This window comes from Homo sapiens, chromosome 6 (assembly GCF_000001405.40).
Source record: "Homo sapiens chromosome 6, GRCh38.p14 Primary Assembly".
Taxonomy (NCBI): Eukaryota; Metazoa; Chordata; class Mammalia; order Primates; family Hominidae; genus Homo; species Homo sapiens.
The window spans coordinates 149,799,043-149,816,161 of NC_000006.12; the positions used below are offsets into that span (position 1 = coordinate 149,799,043).

The 17,119-nt window shown below is 40.7% G+C and overlaps 1 protein-coding gene and 1 long non-coding RNA gene across 10 annotated transcripts in view, besides 1 other annotated feature; one reads left to right on the forward strand and one right to left on the reverse strand.

Moving 5' to 3' along the window:
* The window catches only part of PCMT1 (protein-L-isoaspartate (D-aspartate) O-methyltransferase), a 61,727-nt gene extending 49,348 nt beyond the window's left edge, over positions 1-12,379 (forward strand). For 4 of the 9 annotated variants that reach the window (NM_001252049.1, NM_001252052.1, NM_001360456.1 and 1 more), the window contains 2 exons: positions 3,158-3,327; positions 11,574-12,379. In NM_001252049.1, the coding sequence (NP_001238978.1) occupies positions 3,158-3,327; positions 11,574-11,586 (183 nt within the window). In that variant the 3' untranslated portion in view covers positions 11,587-12,379. Of the gene's footprint in view, positions 1-3,157; positions 3,490-11,573 lie in introns of those variants that run through there. The other 5 variants (NM_005389.2, NM_001252050.1, NM_001252051.1 and 2 more) reach the window with 3 other exon arrangements.
* On the reverse strand, positions 4,083-6,297 carry LOC107986660 (uncharacterized). The gene is made up of 2 exons (XR_001744415.1): positions 6,261-6,297; positions 4,083-4,751 (listed from the first exon to the last, which is right to left on the reverse strand). It is a non-coding gene; the product is annotated as an uncharacterized LOC107986660 (long non-coding RNA).
* Positions 16,997-17,046: an enhancer, noted in NCBI's record as "active region_25268". NCBI's record gives its function as "activates an Ori minimal core promoter by ATAC-STARR-seq in GM12878 lymphoblastoid cells {active_cell/tissue: GM12878}" and the evidence as "EXISTENCE:reporter gene assay evidence [ECO:0000049][PMID:35858748]".

Genomic DNA, 17,119 nt, shown 5'->3' on the forward strand with positions numbered 1-17,119 from the left:
TGTGGTGGCTCACACTTCTCAGCAGTTTGGGAGGCCAAGGAAGGAGGATCGCTTGAGGATCTGAGTTTGAGACCAGCCTGGGCAACATAGCGAGACCCCATCTGTACAAAAAAATTTTAAAATTAGCCAGATGTGGCAGCCTGTGCCTGTAGTCCCAGCTACATGGGAGGCTGAGGTGGGAGGATTGCTTGAGCCCAGGAAGTTGAGATTTCAGTGAACCATGATTGCACCACTGTATTCCAGCCGAGGTGACAGAGAAAGACCCTGTCTCTAAAAAAAATAAAAGCTTCTAGAAAAATAAAACAGATCTCCTGTTAAGGACTGGTAATCAGAAAGGCATCAGACTGCAAACAGCATTAGAATTCGTAAGTCAGAGTACCAAACCATCAAATTCTGAGTTGAAAATTATTTCCAACCTCGAATTCTGTATGCACACACATCACCAAGATAGTTTTAGGTTTGCAAATCTCCATCTCTTTCTTTTAATACATTCCATGCACTATTTCACAAAATGCTTCTGAAGGAACTTTCTTAAATGATTAAGATGTCTTAAAATGTCTTAAAATTTAATGTATTAAAATGCCATTTTTGTCATCCAAAAATGAAATGAGGGAAGAGACAGATAGTAGGAAAAACCAAAAGAGGAAACCACATAGGGCATCTTAATCAGGCAGAGGCATGGAAGTTTGCAGGATTGTTACAAAGGGAAGGGCCTGGATGGAAGCTGTGCAGCAGGCCTGGAGAATAACCAGCTCAGATTTGGAGCAAGAGGAGGAAAGGAAACAATGATTGGATACTTCTTGACTCAGCAGCAAATCATAGTTACACAGTCATAACTAGAAATGATTTTAATAAAAAATGATTGGTTGGATTGGGGGAAGGAAGCAAAATGTAGATTAAGGGAGTTCAATCCTTATCTAGCGTATGTTTTGAAATATAAAGGTAAATACTAGAAGACATAGCTAAAAGGATTTGAAATGACTGGATTTAGAGAGCAAGGGTGGGGTAGGGAGAGGAAGTCAGCTGTTTTTCATTATAAGCCTTGAAATTGAGAAAAACAAGAAGATAGACTTGCAGACAACCAAAACTTTGATTGAGGGCACCCTTTCCTGAGGTAATAAATATCCAAAGTAAGGTTTCTGGCTGGGCATGGTGGCTCATGCCTGTAATCCCAGTACTTTAAGAGGCCGAGGAGAGCGGATCACTTGAGGTTAGGAGTTCGAGACCAGCCTGGCCAACATGTTGAAAGCCCGTCTCTATTAAAAATACAAAAAAAATTAGTCGGGCTCGGTGGTGGGCACCTGTAATCCCAGCTACTTGGGAGGCTGAGGCATGAGAATTGCTTGAACCTGGGAGGCGGAGGTTGCAGTGAGCCGAGATCGTGCCACTGCACTCCAGCCTGGGTGACAGAGCGAGACTCAGTCTCAAAACAACAAAAAACTACAACAAAAAACAAAACAAAACAAAAAACCAGAGTAAGGTTTCTTCTTTAATGTTTTTTATTAATAGTGATGCGTAAAGCTATATGAAAATGGTAACATGATTTAAAAGTTTTCTGACTGTAAGAGCTTCCATTGAGTACTCTTGGTTCTTCATTGACAGGAGTGTCCTCATTCTAACACTGCAGGGACTCCAGCCCTACCTTCCCTCCTTATGGTACCAGTAAACCTCAATTGAATCGTATAACTAGGGTTCCCTTATCCCTTCAGTGATGCCCTAGATTCTACAATAATAGGATAGGGATTCCTTGCTGATTTTCTACACTTCCTCTCCTCCCCTCCTCCTTCCTTCAAACCCACAAAGATTCAAAACAGGCACACAGGCATTAGAATTCTATGCTCTGCCTTTGGCCCGCCAAGAGGATAGTTCTATATTAGTTGGTTCAGTTCAAACATTTTGAGCACTACAGTTGTACCAGGTACTGTGTTAGATGCTAAAGACACAAAGATGAATAAGACACAGTCCCCATCCTCAAGAGCTTGTCGTTTAATAGAGGAGGCTGATAGTTGAGTAATAATATAACAATCAAAGTATGTACAGGGTGAGTATCCCTTCTCCAAAATATTTGGGACCAGAAGTGTTTTGGATTTTGGATTTTTTCAGATTTTTTCACATTTTGGAATATTTACATATACATAATGAGATATCTTGGGAATGGGACCAAGTCTAAACATAAAACTCATTTATGTTATACCTCTTATACACATAGCCTGAAGGTAATTTTGTATAATATTTCAAATAATTTTGTGCATGGAATAAAGTTGTGATTGCATTTTGACTGTGACTTGCCACATGAGGTCAGGTGTGAAATTATCTACTTGTGGTGTCATGTTGATGTTCAGAGTTTTGGATTTTGGAGCATTTCCAGTTTCGGGTTTTCAGATTATTGATGCTCAACCTGTATATACTATGTATTTATTTTTAAGACGGAGTCTCGCTCTGTCACCCAGGCTGGAGTGTGGTGGCGTGATCTTGGCTAACTGCAGCCTCCATCTCTGGGTTCAAGCAATTCTCCTGCCTCAGCCTCCCAAGTAGATAGGACTACAGGCATCTGACACCATGCCTGGCTAATTTTGTACTTTTTTAGTAGAGTTGGAGTTTCACTGTGTTGGCCAGGCTGGTCTTGAACTCTTGACCTCAAGTGATCTGCCCACCTTGGCCTCCCAAAGTGCTGGGATCACAGGCGTGAGCCACCGTGTCTGGCCTTAATTTGTATATACTAAATAAAGAACGTTTCTGCTTTCTGCCTATGGACACTAAAAGTTGTTTATAATGATGTCAAATGACTATTAATATAAAATCTGGGCCGGGCACAGTAGCTCACGCCTGTAATCCAAGCACTTTGGGAAGCCGAGGTGGGTGGAGTACTTGAGGTTAGGAGTTCGAGACCAGTGTGGCCAATATGGTGAAACCTTGTCTCTACTAAAAATACAAAAATTAGCTGGGCATGGTGGCGTGTGCCTGTAGTCCCAGCTACTTGGGAGACTGAGGCAGGAGAATCACTTGAACCTGGGAGGCAGAGGTTGCAGTGAGCTGAGATCGTGTCATTGCACTCCAGCCTGGGCGACAGAGTGAGACCCTGTCTCAAAAATAAATAAATAAAATAAAATAAAATCTGTAACTTGGTGATGTATGTGCTTTTTTTTTTTTCTTTTAGCTAATAGATCAGTTAAAGCCCGGAGGAAGATTGATATTGCCTGTTGGTCCTGCAGGCGGAAACCAAATGTTGGAGCAGTATGACAAGCTACAAGATGGCAGCATCAAAATGAAGCCTCTGATGGGGGTGATATACGTGCCTTTAACAGATAAAGAAAAGCAGTGGTCCAGGTGGAAGTGATTTTATCTTCTGCTCTTTCTTCTTCCACACATGCAAGGTGAAAGGGTGTGGATTTTAAGACATTAGACTACAAGAGCTGTTTTTGGTTGTCACCTTTATGCTCCTCCATTATAACGTCAGAAATTCATTACATTAAAAATGTGAAAAATGTTGCATGGTCTGCCCTTATTTTGGTTTAACATATATATCTTTGGGAAAGGGAGGGTGAGACTTGGTTGGCACAAAGGCTTTTTTTGTTTGTTTGTTTGTTTTTTTTTTAGAGAGACTTTCAGCTTCAATTCAGTACTTTGTAAGGATTTTTTCTTCATTATCAGCCACTCTGTTTTTATGTTTTTAAATTATTTTTATAGCACTGGATGGGCATGGAAACAATGAGTTTGGTCTGTAAAAGAGGCCAGGCGGAGTGGCTCATGCCTGTAATCCCAGCACTTTGGGAGGCCTAGGTGGGCGGATCACTTGAGGTCAGGAGTTTGAGACTAGCCTGGCCAACATGGTGAAACCCCGTCTCTATTAAAAATACAAAATCAGCTGGGCGTGATGGCACAGGCCTGTAATCCCAGCTACTCGGGAGGCTGAGCCAGGAGAATTGCTTAAACCCTGGAGGCGGAGGTTGCAGTGGGCCGAGATTTTGACACTGCACTCCAGCCTGGGAGACAGAGCAAGGCTCTGTCTCAAAAAAAAAAAAAAAAAAAAAAAAAAAAAACAAGGGGCCATCATTTCCTGCCCTGTTTATTGTACCAACAAGGAGAAAGAAGGGGAAAGATAACGGTCGTCTCAGTTTTCTAAAATGTCAGAATACCAGAGAGGACATTCTACCTCTCAGCTTGGTTTATCTGTTTCAACCAAATCATAGATACCTGACAGCCCATGCCTATTTTTCATTCAGCCTTGTTTAAGAGTCACCTTCTCCCCATTCTATAGAATAGGCCAGCCACTGTTTAAGCTATTCTGGCTAAATTCCTAGGAAGAGGCAAGGATTCTACAAGTTACCCAATGAGTGCCCAGGTCTCACAAACCCACCCAGAGGGTCAGCAGCATGCAGCAACTTTCAGCACAGCATGGTTTATAAAGAATGTCCACTTTTGTTTTATGTCTCAGCATAATCTGAATATTTTGTTTGAAGCCAAGATTTCTCTTTTCCTCCCCTTCCCACTCCCTTCCATGAGAGAGAGTGACATCAGTACATAACAGTGCCATTAGCTCAAATTACTTGAAATTAAATGCCAAAACAAGAACGGCTTTACAGTTTCCTTGTCTTAGCATCTTATTTTTATTTGACATAAAGATTCTTATTTTAAAATAATTAGTTTCTTAATAAGTAAAAGGGGTGATAATAAGTTTAATAGATCTCTCAATGTTGTTTTTATTCTTCACCAATAGCTATTTTCTGTGAATTATACGTGGAGCACAGCCACTGGAAAAAAAAAAAAAAAAAAAAGCATTTTAGTCCAGGCATTTTGGGAGGCTGAGGTGAGCCAATCATCTTAAGTCAGGAGTTTGAGACCAGCCTGGCCAACATGGTGAAACCCTGTCTCTACTAAAAACACAAAAATTAGCTGGGCATGTTGGCTTGCATCTGTAGTCCCAGGCACTCAGGAGGCTGAGGCAGGAGAATTGTTTGAACCCAGGAGGCAGAGGTTGCAGTGAGTCGAGATCACACTACTGCCTTCTAGCCTGGGTGACAGAGCGAGACTCTGTCTCAAAAAAAAAAAAAAAAAAAAAAATTAAAAAGGCATTTAAAAAATTACTGGTTTTTTCAACTGGAATCAGATGTAGTTATTAACAACTAACTAAAACCTTCCTTCACTTTGCTTCTAGTATGGTTTATACAATTACATAATTGTGAGATTATTGTAGTATAAAAGGGGCAAATATGTTACTGAAATTACTGAAATTTGATAAGAAGAGTTGATTTTCATTAGCAACTTAGAAATTTTTCTTTTTATATACAATAAATATTAGTGTTGAACATCTTGCCTATAATTTATAATTTATAATTATGAAGGAATTATAAAAAGGGAATTTTGTTTTTATGACTAGAGGTAGATTTACTGTGAAGCTAACAAAGCTGAAGCTGCAGAGCCCTTGCTTGTCTAGGTTTTCTCTGACCCTGTTCTTAATTTAATTTAATTTAAAAAAGTGTTTTTTTTGAGACGGAGTCCTGCTCTGTTACCCAGGCTGTGTAGAGCAGTGGTGCAATCTCAGCTCACTACAACCTCCGTCTCCCAGGTTCAAGCAATTCTCCTGCCTCAGCTTCCCAAGTAGCTGAGAGTATAGGCGCCCAGCTAAATTTTGTATTTTTAGTAGAGAAGGGGTTTCACCATGTTGGCCAGGCTGGTCTCGAACTCCTGACCTCAGGTGATCTGCCCGCCTCGGCCTCCCAAAGTGCTAGGATTACAGGTGTCAGCCACCATGCCTGGCCCTGTTCTTAATTTTATATTATGCATAGTCTTACTGATTTTTTTTTTAACTTCATAAAAAGGTTCCCCTGTTTTCTAATTATATAAACCTTAGGCCCCCACAAAACCTGAATCCACCTTTGATAAAACCAAACTATTTGTATTAAGAAATTTAAAATAGGGCCAGGTATGGTGGCTTATGCCTGTAATCCCAATGCTTTGGGAGGTTGAGGTGGGAGGATCACTTGAGGCCAGAAGTTCAAGAGAAGCCTGGGAAACATAGTGAGACCTCGTATCTACTAAAAATTTAAGAACTAGCCAGGCGTAGTGGTGTGCACCTCTAGTTCTGGCTACTTGGGAGGCTGAGATAAGAGGATCACTTAAGCCCAGAAGCGGCAGTGAGCTGTGATCACCACAGCATTCCAGGCTGGGCAACAGAGCAAGACCTTATCTTTAAAAAATATATTTAGAATAATTTTTAAATTTATGGACAATTAGTCATCTGCTAAACATTAAATGTATACCTGCTTTTAGGCTGGGCGCAGTGGCTCACGCCTGTAATCCCAGCACTTTGGGAGGCCAAGGCGGGCAGATCACAAGGTCAGGAGATCGAGACCATCCTGGGTAACATGGCGAAACCCCGTCTCTCCTAAAAATACAAAAAAATTAGCCGGGCGTGGTGGCAGGTACCTCTAGTCCCAGCTACTCGGGAGGCTGAAGCAGGAGAATGGCGTGAACCTGGGAGGCCGAGCTTGCAGTGAGCTGAGATCGCGCCATTGCACTCCAGCCTGGGCAACAGAGCGAGACTCCGTCTCAAAAAATGTATACCTGGTTTTCTTTTTGACCTTCAAAGTTTTTTAAAAATTGAACAAATTTAGGCTGGGCACAGTGGCTCACGCCTGTAATCCCAGCACTTTGGGAGGCTGAGGCGGGCGGATCACGAGGTCAGGAGATCGAGACCATCCTGGCCAACATGGTGAAACTCCATCTCTACTAAAAAAACAATACAAAAATTAGCTGGGCGTGGTGGCAGGCACCTGTAATTCCAGCTACTCGGGAGGCTGAGGCAGGAGAATCACTTGAACCTGGGAGGTGGAGGTTGCATTGAGCCTACATTGTGCCACTGTACTCTAACCTGGCGACAGAGTAAGACTCTGTCTCAAAAAAAAAAAAAAAAAATTGAGCAAACTTACATGTTCGCACTATCAGAAAAAAAAAAAATTTCTCCAGGTGTACCAGGAGGACTTTCTAATTTTTCTGTTGTAGATGCTTTTCTTTGGCCATTTGTTCAGTTGCTAAATATTTTTCAGCGTGAGGATCTTCTTAATATTATTCGTGAATTCAACCAATATGCATATGCCAACTAGGCCAGGCACTGTACTAGGTGCCAGGAGTCATCAGCTGTGAATTTGAAACTGACTGCTCTCATGGAGCTTACAGTAACGTAGGAGATGCAAAGACCAAGATGAATAGGCAGTTATAGGGTAGTGTTCAGACTCGCGGTAGGGAGCCAGGCATTGAAGTGGTCAGAATTACATTTCAGAAAGATAACTCTAGCTGTTATGTAGAGACTAGCCTGGGAAGGGACAAAAGTCGAGTCAGAAACAGGAAGTGGTTATAGCAATTCAAGGATGAAATGATGGTCTGCATTAAGGCAGTGTTAGTAAGGATAGAGAGAAGTGGGTGGATAGCTACATCTAAAATACTGTCACTGTTTTCTGGGAATTATCATCTAAAAAGTTCCCTAGTCAACTTCTTGCCAGGCTACGTGATTTCTGTTCTTTCAAACTTTCCGTTTTTGTTTTTGTTTTGTTTTATTTTGTTTTGTTTTGATACAGTCTCTCTCTGTCACCCAGGCTGGAGTGCAGTGGCATGATCTCTGCTCACTGCAGCCTCAACCTCCTGGGCTCAAGCGATCCCCCCTGCCTCAGCCTTCTGAGTAGCTGGGACCACAGGGTGTGCCACCATACTCAGCTGATTTTCTTGTTTTTTTTGTAGACAAGGGGTTTTGCCATGTTGCCCAGGCTGGTCTCGGACTCCTGAGCTCAAGCGTTCCACCCACCTCAGCCTCCCAAAGTGCTGGGATTACAGGCTTGAGCCACCAGCCTCAAACTTTCTTCAGGATTACTTTAACTCATTATAATACTTTCCTAGGAACCTTCTCTTGTGTCTCACCAGCTTTCCACCTTTCTTACTGAGGAATAATCCAGAGCTAATTGCGGTGCTCTGATGAGGGTGAGATCCCATTTTTGCTGAGGCGATGTGGCAGAAACTGTATTTTTAAAAATGAGAATTAGTGGACATGTGGAATTCTAGTACCAAGTAAAGATCCAAACTTGAATGTAGACTTGAGTCTTTTTACACTTGGAAAGATGTCACTTGTAATTTTGGTGGATTAATAGAAGGGGAGACAATGCCAGATCTATAGGCCAGAGACCTAGAATCTGTGGAATTGTGTTCATGACTATGGACATGTAATAGTTGTATTAGTTGCTACAGAAAGTTAATAGTTCTTAAGTATTATTTTATTTTAAATAAATAATTTATATGTAAAAATATTTTGTTAATCTTCTGGTAAAAGTTTTATTTTTATTTATTTATAGATATTTTTGAGACAGAGTCTTGCTCTGTCACCCAGGCTGGAGTGCAGTGATGCGATCTTGGCTCACTGCACCTCCGCCTCCTGGGTTCAAGTGATTCTCCTGCCTCAGCCTCCCGCATAGCTGGGACTACAGGCACGCACCACGAGGCCCGGCTAATTTTTGTATTTTTAGTAGAGACGGGGTTTCACTGTGTTGACCAGGCTGGTCTCAAACTCCTGACATCAAGTGATCCACCCGCCTCAGCCTCCAAAACTGCTGGAATTACAGGTGTGAGCCACCACACCCAGACTATTTTTGTTTTTAGTAGTCACAAGAGTTAGTGTAATTGGTCCATCTTTAGTTTGTGAAACTGAGGAATGTTCAAGTTTATTATTCCATAAGCTCTTTGTTTATTGATGTCTTCTTAAAGTGCCTTGCATCTATGAAAAAGATGTTAGGAATTGACTGCATTTCCAAGACTGACAGTATTGGTGCTAAGGGATCCAATTGATCCCGTGTTCCATATTCTATATTGTTCCTTTTTAATCTCTTTACATATGTTCCAGTATTGTGACATACATTACATCCTTAAAAGCAGGGATATATTCTGTTACTTTTGGAATTCTTTTTGTCTCTCATAGTGCTTCGTACAAAGCAAATTGTACAACACTTTTATTACCTTGGAAGATCCATGAAATTATTAGAAAACGTTCATGGATTTTGATTGTTGTTTCCTTATAGTATATCTTTTCATTTATTCTTGGTAAAGAATGTATAAGACTAAATGTTAGTATCATAGAGTTAATAAAATCTAATAAATAATTAAATTATGTATAATTATATACTAGTAGAAATATATACAGTTATTAACCTAATGAATATATTTAGCATAGTATATAGCAATTTTAAAGAGCCTTTCTAAAAATTTAGTACATACTATTTTTTATTGTAAATGATCTATACATGTAAGTCAGATAAAGAAATGGTCATACAGAATTTTGAACATTGGGGAAAATTTAATAACTTGAAAGTTACATGGATTTTAGAGTATTAGGCTTTTAAAAAATTGTGCACGCGCTGGCAGCAAGTTTTTGTTTTTCCCTAGCACCTCTAATTTTAAAATTCAGGTCTATAAACCTAATTTCTTTTCCTTTTTTAAAGTATTTTTTAGACAGAGAGGATAGTTGGAAAAATGGTACCTATGTTGTTGAGGGGGCATTAATTTATTTACAGTATACTTAATGTCTTGCAGCAGGTAAATTGTAGTAAATTATTATTATTATTATTGTTTTCTGAGATGGAGTCTCGCTCTGTCGCTCAGGCTGGAGTGCAGTGGCGTGATCTCAGCTTGCTGCAACCTCCGCCTCCCTGGTTTAAGCGATTCTCCTGCCTCAGCCTCCCGAATAGCTAGGATTACAGGTGCATGCCACCACACCCGGCTAATTATTTGTATTTTTAGTAGAGACGAGGTTTCACCATGTTAGCCAGGATGGTCTCGATCTCCTGACCTCATGATCCGCCCGCCTTGGCCTCCCAAAGTGCTGGGATTACAGGTGTGAGCCACTGCCCCTGGCAAATTGTAGTAAATTATTTAAAAATAACAATATCTTTGGCTTGGGCATGGTGGCTCACACCTGTAATCCCAGCACTTTGGGAGGCTGAGGTGGGCAGATCACTTGAGGTCAGGAGTTCGAGACCAGCCTGAGCAACGTGGTGAAACCCTGTCTCTACTAATAATACAAAAAAAATTTAGCCGGGTATGGTGGTGCCTGCCTGTAATCCCAGCGACTCGGGAGGCTGAGGCAGGAGAATTGCTGGAACCTGGGAGGCAGAGGTTGCAGTGAGCCATGATCACACCACTGCACTCCAGCCTAGGTGACAGAGCGAGACTCTGTCTCAAAAAAAAAAAAAAAAAAAAAAAGCCAAAACAAGAAAAACAATATCTTCAGTTCATATTCTAAAAAGCAGAAGTGAATTTTACTTTATGAATAGAGCACTTTGCAAATAATTCTTTGTTGACCAAATATTTTAATGCCTGCATGAGTTAAGTAAAAGCTGTTCTATGAGAATTATAACATTGTTATTTGGAAGAATATATTAAGAGGAAGCAGACTTATGATTTGTCATTTAATAGATAATCCAATACTATAGGATAAAGGCAGCTTATTGGAGAAATGATTTTAAAAATATTTTCTTGCACAATTTACAAAATTTAGTTTAAAAAAATTGTCCAGTAATTTACCCCCACTTACTTGTGAAATTATGAGCTCTTTATTTCTTCTTCCCTTCAAATTTATCTTAACAACTTTTTCAAAACTTTTAACTTTAATTTTTATTGCCAACAAGTTGCTAGGATAGTACAAATAACTCCTAAATCTCTTCATCCAGAGTCATCAATTATTATCATTTTTCTACATTTCTTTCCCCTCTTTCTATATATACATATATGTAATTTTTTTCCTTTTTCTTAAACCACTTGAGACTTAATTATCAATATCATGCTTCTTTACCCCTAAAGTTCTTGTTTTTGTCACTCACATTACCTTCAGCTATGAGGCTTGTGGGCTTCTCTCGTGGTTTTATTCATTTTTTCACTTTTAACAGTTTTACTGAGGTATAACTGAGATACCATACAGTTTATTTTAGACTGCATTTTTATTCCTTCCTTCCTCTCACTGGCAGTTGCTGGTACAGTGCTGCACCTGGCTGAGTGAATGGTTTCTTTTGGAGCTGATAAAGCTGCCTTATGAAATCAGCTGACAGGTATATTATACCTACAGATGATGCCTTTTCTCTCAGAGCGCTTGGGTTGAGATTGACCCACTCCACAATTGCTAGTGGACATTCTGAGCAAAAGACCACATTTCTGTCCAATTTTGTGAATGTAACTATCAACTCATTTGAACTCTAAAACACTTAAGTTGTCATTTTACTATAGTGTAAAGATGACCGTAGATCTAAAAGATATTTTTTCTGAATTTTGACATTGAAGGAAGAAATCTATTTTTAGAAATCAAAAATGAAGAACTCACGCCCTTTAGGTTGCATACTTGGTTCTGGAGTGGCATGGAAGATGTTTGGAATGGCTGACCCTCTGTTGCTTTCACTTGGGTTGTTTGCATTTTTATTTTTTAAATATATTGCTTGGTGATCAGCGCATTTTTATTGACTTAATAGTTGTGTCTAAACTATTATAAAGCCAAATTGGGTAGTGTGTAACTCCTACTAATGTATTTCTCTCTTTTTTCCTCACAGGGATGAATTGTAAAAGCAACATCAGCTTGACCAGTATAAAATTACAGTGGATTGCTCATCTCAGTCCTCAAAGCTTTTTGAAAACCAACACCATCACAGCTTGTTTTGGACTTTGTTACACTGTTATTTTCAGCATGAAAATGTGTGTTTTTTTAGGGTTTCTGATTCTTCAAAGAGGCACAGAGCCAAATTGGTAGAGGAAGGATGCAAAGTATAAATTTGTGTAATATTACTTTAACATGCCCATATTTTACTTGGAAATATTAAAAGAAAGGGTTCTGTAAAATGGAAAACTTAGTTTGTGAATTGATTTTGAGGAGTGGTTTTTCTTTTCTTGGACACTTAATTCTGTTCTGATATTAATTTATCAGATTGCTTTTGTGCATTGGATAACACCACCATTCACAAGTTAAGATTCTTGGTATTTGGATATCTGTTAGATGCTACTAAGAAAATAGAGATGAGCTTTCTTTTTAAAGCTTTTGATGTGGTGTCATAGAATAGCATGTTGTAGATACAATCAGCTGCTTTGTTACCTTAAAACTAGGCATTTGTAAATATTAAACCATAAGATGGCAGGTGATGTCCTGTAAACACTCAGCTGTTCAGATTGGACATAACTGACTTAGTTCTTCCCTTCTCTCTCTCTCAAAATTATAGGAGACTTGTAGTTTAGTGTGGTTTTCTGTTTCTAATTTGCTGCTGATAATGTATATGAACTTAACATGCTGTGTAAGCTGTGTCCTAGTTCTTGAACAGTTTATGCAGTGCTGCTTTGCCAAATAAAGTTAAAAGTAAAAGAGGCATTGGTTGTTTTTGAATATAGAAGGAAGAACAGCAAGTCCACCAGATAGGGAGTGTTTACGATCATGGGAAAAAGACTGTTTCTCTGGTTGTTTCCTTTTGCGAAGTCTGAGTAAGTAATTAGCATTAATCCAACTGTACATTGTAGAATGTGACTACACTGCTCCAGGGCCAGGACCGTACTTCAGTCGTCATTTCTCTTTGACTCCCTAGCCCAGGGCTTGCCCTGTAGTAGCTATACAGTAAATGCTGGTGAGTGAGTGAGTGGTGAATGAATCGACTTAAAGTCAGGAAAGAACAGGATTGAGGGTGAACAGACCAAAACCCATCTCTCACCTATACAAAGATTTATTAATATAATGACTATAGCTGAATTTCTAAGAAGGCAGTAGCACTTTGGGATCTTATTTAAATGTTGTGATTTATAACTTTTATAAGAAGTAGTTCTGGAACTGAGGAAATATAAGCTCCAGAATGAGCAGAATCAGCACTCCCAGCAAAGCCCTTCTACTGGGTGCATGTGTGGGTGCGTAATTCTGGCAAAGAACCTTCGTGGGCATGTGAACACTCCCCCCAGCTCTTGAAAAAAGTCTTAAATATTACTTCTTTACAAATGGCTTTTAGGCTGGGTGCGGTGGCTCACGCCTGTAATCCCAGCACTTTGGGAGGCTGAGATGGGCAGATCACCTGAGGTCAGGAGTTCAAGACCAGCCTGGCCAACATGATGAAATCCCCTCTCTACCCCTCTCTACTAAAAATACAAAAATTAGCTGGGCATGGTGGCACACACCTGTAATCCCAGCTACTTGGGAAGCTGAGGCAGGAGAACTGCTTGAACCAGGGAGGCAGAGGTTGCAGTGAGCCAAGATCGCGCCATTGCACTTCAGCCTGGGTGACGAGTGAAACTCTCTCAATAAATAAATAAATAAATAAAATGGCTTTTAAAACTGATGCATCTTTTCACAAGTGCCTCTTCTTGGGTAAGGTCTTAGACACAGGAAACTAGCATTATTTGGTGCCCAAAACTTGAGAGTTTAAATTTATTGTTGGCTTCAGTTTGCTGCTGTTAATTGCTTCCATACTCAGGCCATGAATCCCTGTGGTCCAGGACTAGTCCATTTTAAATAGTTGTAAAGGTCAAATATTCTTTTTTTTTTTATTTTTTATTTTTTGAGACGGAGTCTCGCTCTGTCGCCCAGGCTGGAGTGCAGTGGCGCGATCTCGGCTCACTGCAAGCTCCGCCTCCCAGGTTCACGCCATTCTCCTGCCTCAGCCTCCAGAGTAGCTGGGATTACAGGTGCCCGCCACCACGCCAGCTAATTTTTTGTATTTTTAGTACAGATGGGGTTTCACTGTGTTAGCCAGGGTGGTCTCGATCTCCTGACCTTGTGATCCCCCCACCTCGGCCTCCCAAAATGCTGGGATTACAGGCGTGAGCCACCACGCCCAGCCAAGGTCAGATATTCCTTACAACTGAAGTTAATTCTTAAATGTATCCACTGGTCTGTGTCTTTCATAGCCATTACCAACATTTTACTATATATGAGTCTCTATGTTTGGTTTTGGGAATAGAAAAGGGCCCTTACTCTCAAAAGTGTGAAGTCTGTTTGAGGAGACAATTATATAAATATGACAAGACAAACTTAAGTGCCACCTGATTAGTACAGACAGTGCTATGCCTTCAGCATTGTTCAAGCACTGCTCTTGGACTTTACATGTTTATGAATTAAAATTGTAGAATGTTGAATAAACAGGAATGGGCTTTAAGGGAGCATGAATAAATGGGTAGAAACGGAAATAATGGATTTTAGCTAGGCCTAAGAGTTTTTTTTTCTGTAAGATGTGTGTGTGTGTGTGTGTGTGTGTGTGTACAGGTTACAGGCAAGAAAAGTCTCCTTAATCTTTAGTATTCATAATTTCTAAAACATTTCCTTATGTCATTTTCCTTAATAGACATGATTCCTTTACATAATATGAAGGGCAACAATGAAAACATTTCAAAAAGTTTCAGTCTAGTGAGATCATGTTGAAATGAGATTTTTTCTACAGATTTGGTTTTATTAAAGGCCAAATCAAGCTCTCAAAATTTATGTAATCTTGCCCAGGCATGGTGGCTCAAACTTGCAATCTCAGCACTTTGGGAGGCCGAGCGAGGAGGATTGCTTGAGGCCAGGAGTTCAAGACCAGCTTGAGCAACAAAGTGACATCTTGTCTCTACAAAAAAACAAAAATTAGCCAGGCATGGTGATGTGCTCCTGTAGTCCTAGCTACTTGGGGGGCTGATGCAGGAGAATTGCTTGAGCCCAGGAGTTCGAGGCTGTAGTGAGCAAAGCTATAGTGAGCTATGATCATGCCACTGCACTCCAGCCTGGGCAACGAGTAAGACTCAGTCTCTCCCTCTCTTTTTTAAAAACTCTTTTCCTCCACCCTTCTAATAGAAACCTAAGAAGCCTATCTCTTAAAACAAAAACCACTTATATAATCTAAGCCTGAATTATGAATATCAGCTTTTTATTGAGGGTTTCTTTTTTTTGAGTGCAATGGTGTGATCTCAGCTTACTGCAACCGTCACCTCCGGGGTTCAAGCAATTCTGCCTCAGCCTCCCAAGTAGCTGAGATTACAGGCAGACGCCACCACACCCGGCTAATTTTGTATTTTTTTAGTAGAGATGGGGTTTCACCATGTTGGTCAGGCTGGTCTCGAACTCCTGACCTCAAGTGATCCACCCACCTTAGCCTCCCAAAGTGCTGGGATTACAGGTGTGAGCCACCACACCCGGTCGAGGGTTTCAACTCTTTTCCAGTCAATAACATTAGAAGAAAATGACATTCTGGGAGGAAAATAATCCATTAACATTGTTCATGCAAGTGTTTTAAATTCCACTGCCCTAATTTTAAATACTGCCATTGTTCAAAAAAAGTTCACTGTGCAGTGGTGCGATCTCGGCTCACTGCAACCTCTACCTCCCGGGTTCAAGTGATTCTCCTGCCTCAGCCTTCCACGTCACCATGCCCAGCTAATTTTTTGTATTTTTAGTAGATACAGGGTTTCACTGGGTTAGCCAAGATGGTCTCCATCTCCTGACCCTGGGATCTGCCTGCCTTGGCCTCCCAAAGTGTTGGGATTACAGGCGTGAGCCACCGTCCCTGGCCCACTGAACTTTTAAAATTGGTATATAATGTACCTCTATTAAAGCATCTTAAAAATTCAATTGATCTAAAATAGACTGACATCTTTGAGTAATAATGCTCATGAATTTTTGAAGCTATTCTTGGTGTGTGATTGTCAGCCAGGAAACAGCTGCTTAGTTTTGTTTCATTAGCCAGGTGGGTATTTTTGGTTTTCAGCTAAATGTTAACAAATTTTCAATAGTTTGATATTTTACTAAAATATATGAGTATGGTAACTGAACACTAATATTGTAAATGAACTAATGGATTATTTTTAGTGTTCTAAATGGGGTTCAGAGGCTAATACATTATTTTAGGTAAGTGCTAACATTCTTCTAGGTATAAATCATTGCCTACAACTTATTGTGTTCTTAAAGAACTGAACAGTAAAACAAATGGGTTCTGATTGGATTTCAGTTGGATCTCTGGATTCCTCTGACCATTTTCCAGAAAGATGAGTGTTGTGTTCTCACTGAACCTAGCACGTGGCTCAAATAGAGGGCTGGTGAAAGAATCCCACTTGAAGAAAACCAGCTGACCCAAGGGGCCAAGGAATGTTTGTGTATTGTAATATGATAAAAAGGAAATCAGGCCGGGTGGGGTGGCTCACGCCTTTAATCCCAGCACTTTGGGAGGCCGAGGTGGGTGGATCACCTGAGGTTAGGAGTTCAAGACCAGCCTGACCAACATGGCGAAACCCCATCTCTACTAAAAATACAAAATTAGCCGGGTGTGGTGGTGGGTGCCTGTAATCCCAGCTACTTGGGAGGTTGAGACAGGAGAATCACTAGAACCCAGGAGGCAGAGGTTGCAATGAGCCGAGATCACGCCACTGCACTCCAGCCTGGGCGACAGAGCCAGACTCTCTCAAAAAAAACAAAAAAGAGGGAATCAAGTCCAATAATTTCCTTATCCTTAATCCTTCTAATATCATTGCTACAATAATGATTGTTGGTTCCCCACTTCCGGCTTCATCTTTCTGGCTTTTTTTTTTTTTTTTTTTTTTTGAGACAGTCTCTCACTCTTTCTCCAAGCTGGAGTGCAGTGGCGCAGTCTCGGCTCACTGCAACCTCCGCCTGCCAGGTTCAAGTGATTCTCCTGCCTCAGCCTCCCAAGTAGCTGGGACTACAGGCGTGCGCCACCATGCTCAGCTAATTTTTGTATTTTTAGTAGAGACAGGGTTTCACCATGTTGGCCAGGATGGTCTCGATCTCTTGACCTCGTGATCCTCCCACCTCAGCCTCCCAAAATGCTGGGATTACAGGCGTGAGCCACCATGCCCAGCCCCAGCTTCATCTTTTTAACTGACTTTGTGTTGTTTCAGTCAGGAATCTCTGTGAAACGGCCCTTTGCTTGCTGGGAGAGAAAATAGAGTAAAATCTAACTTTCAGTTCCCATATAGTACTGTGCTGTGCTAGGGGGCCCTCAGAACCTCTGAGGCATGCTTCTGTCTGTCCCTCCTCTCACCCCCCTGTTTTTCCTCATCTTTCCACCTCCCTGGCAGAAAAAAAGTTAAAGCTGTGGTCTCACAGATTGCAGTTCATGGTTCTGATTTCTTTTTCTATACACAA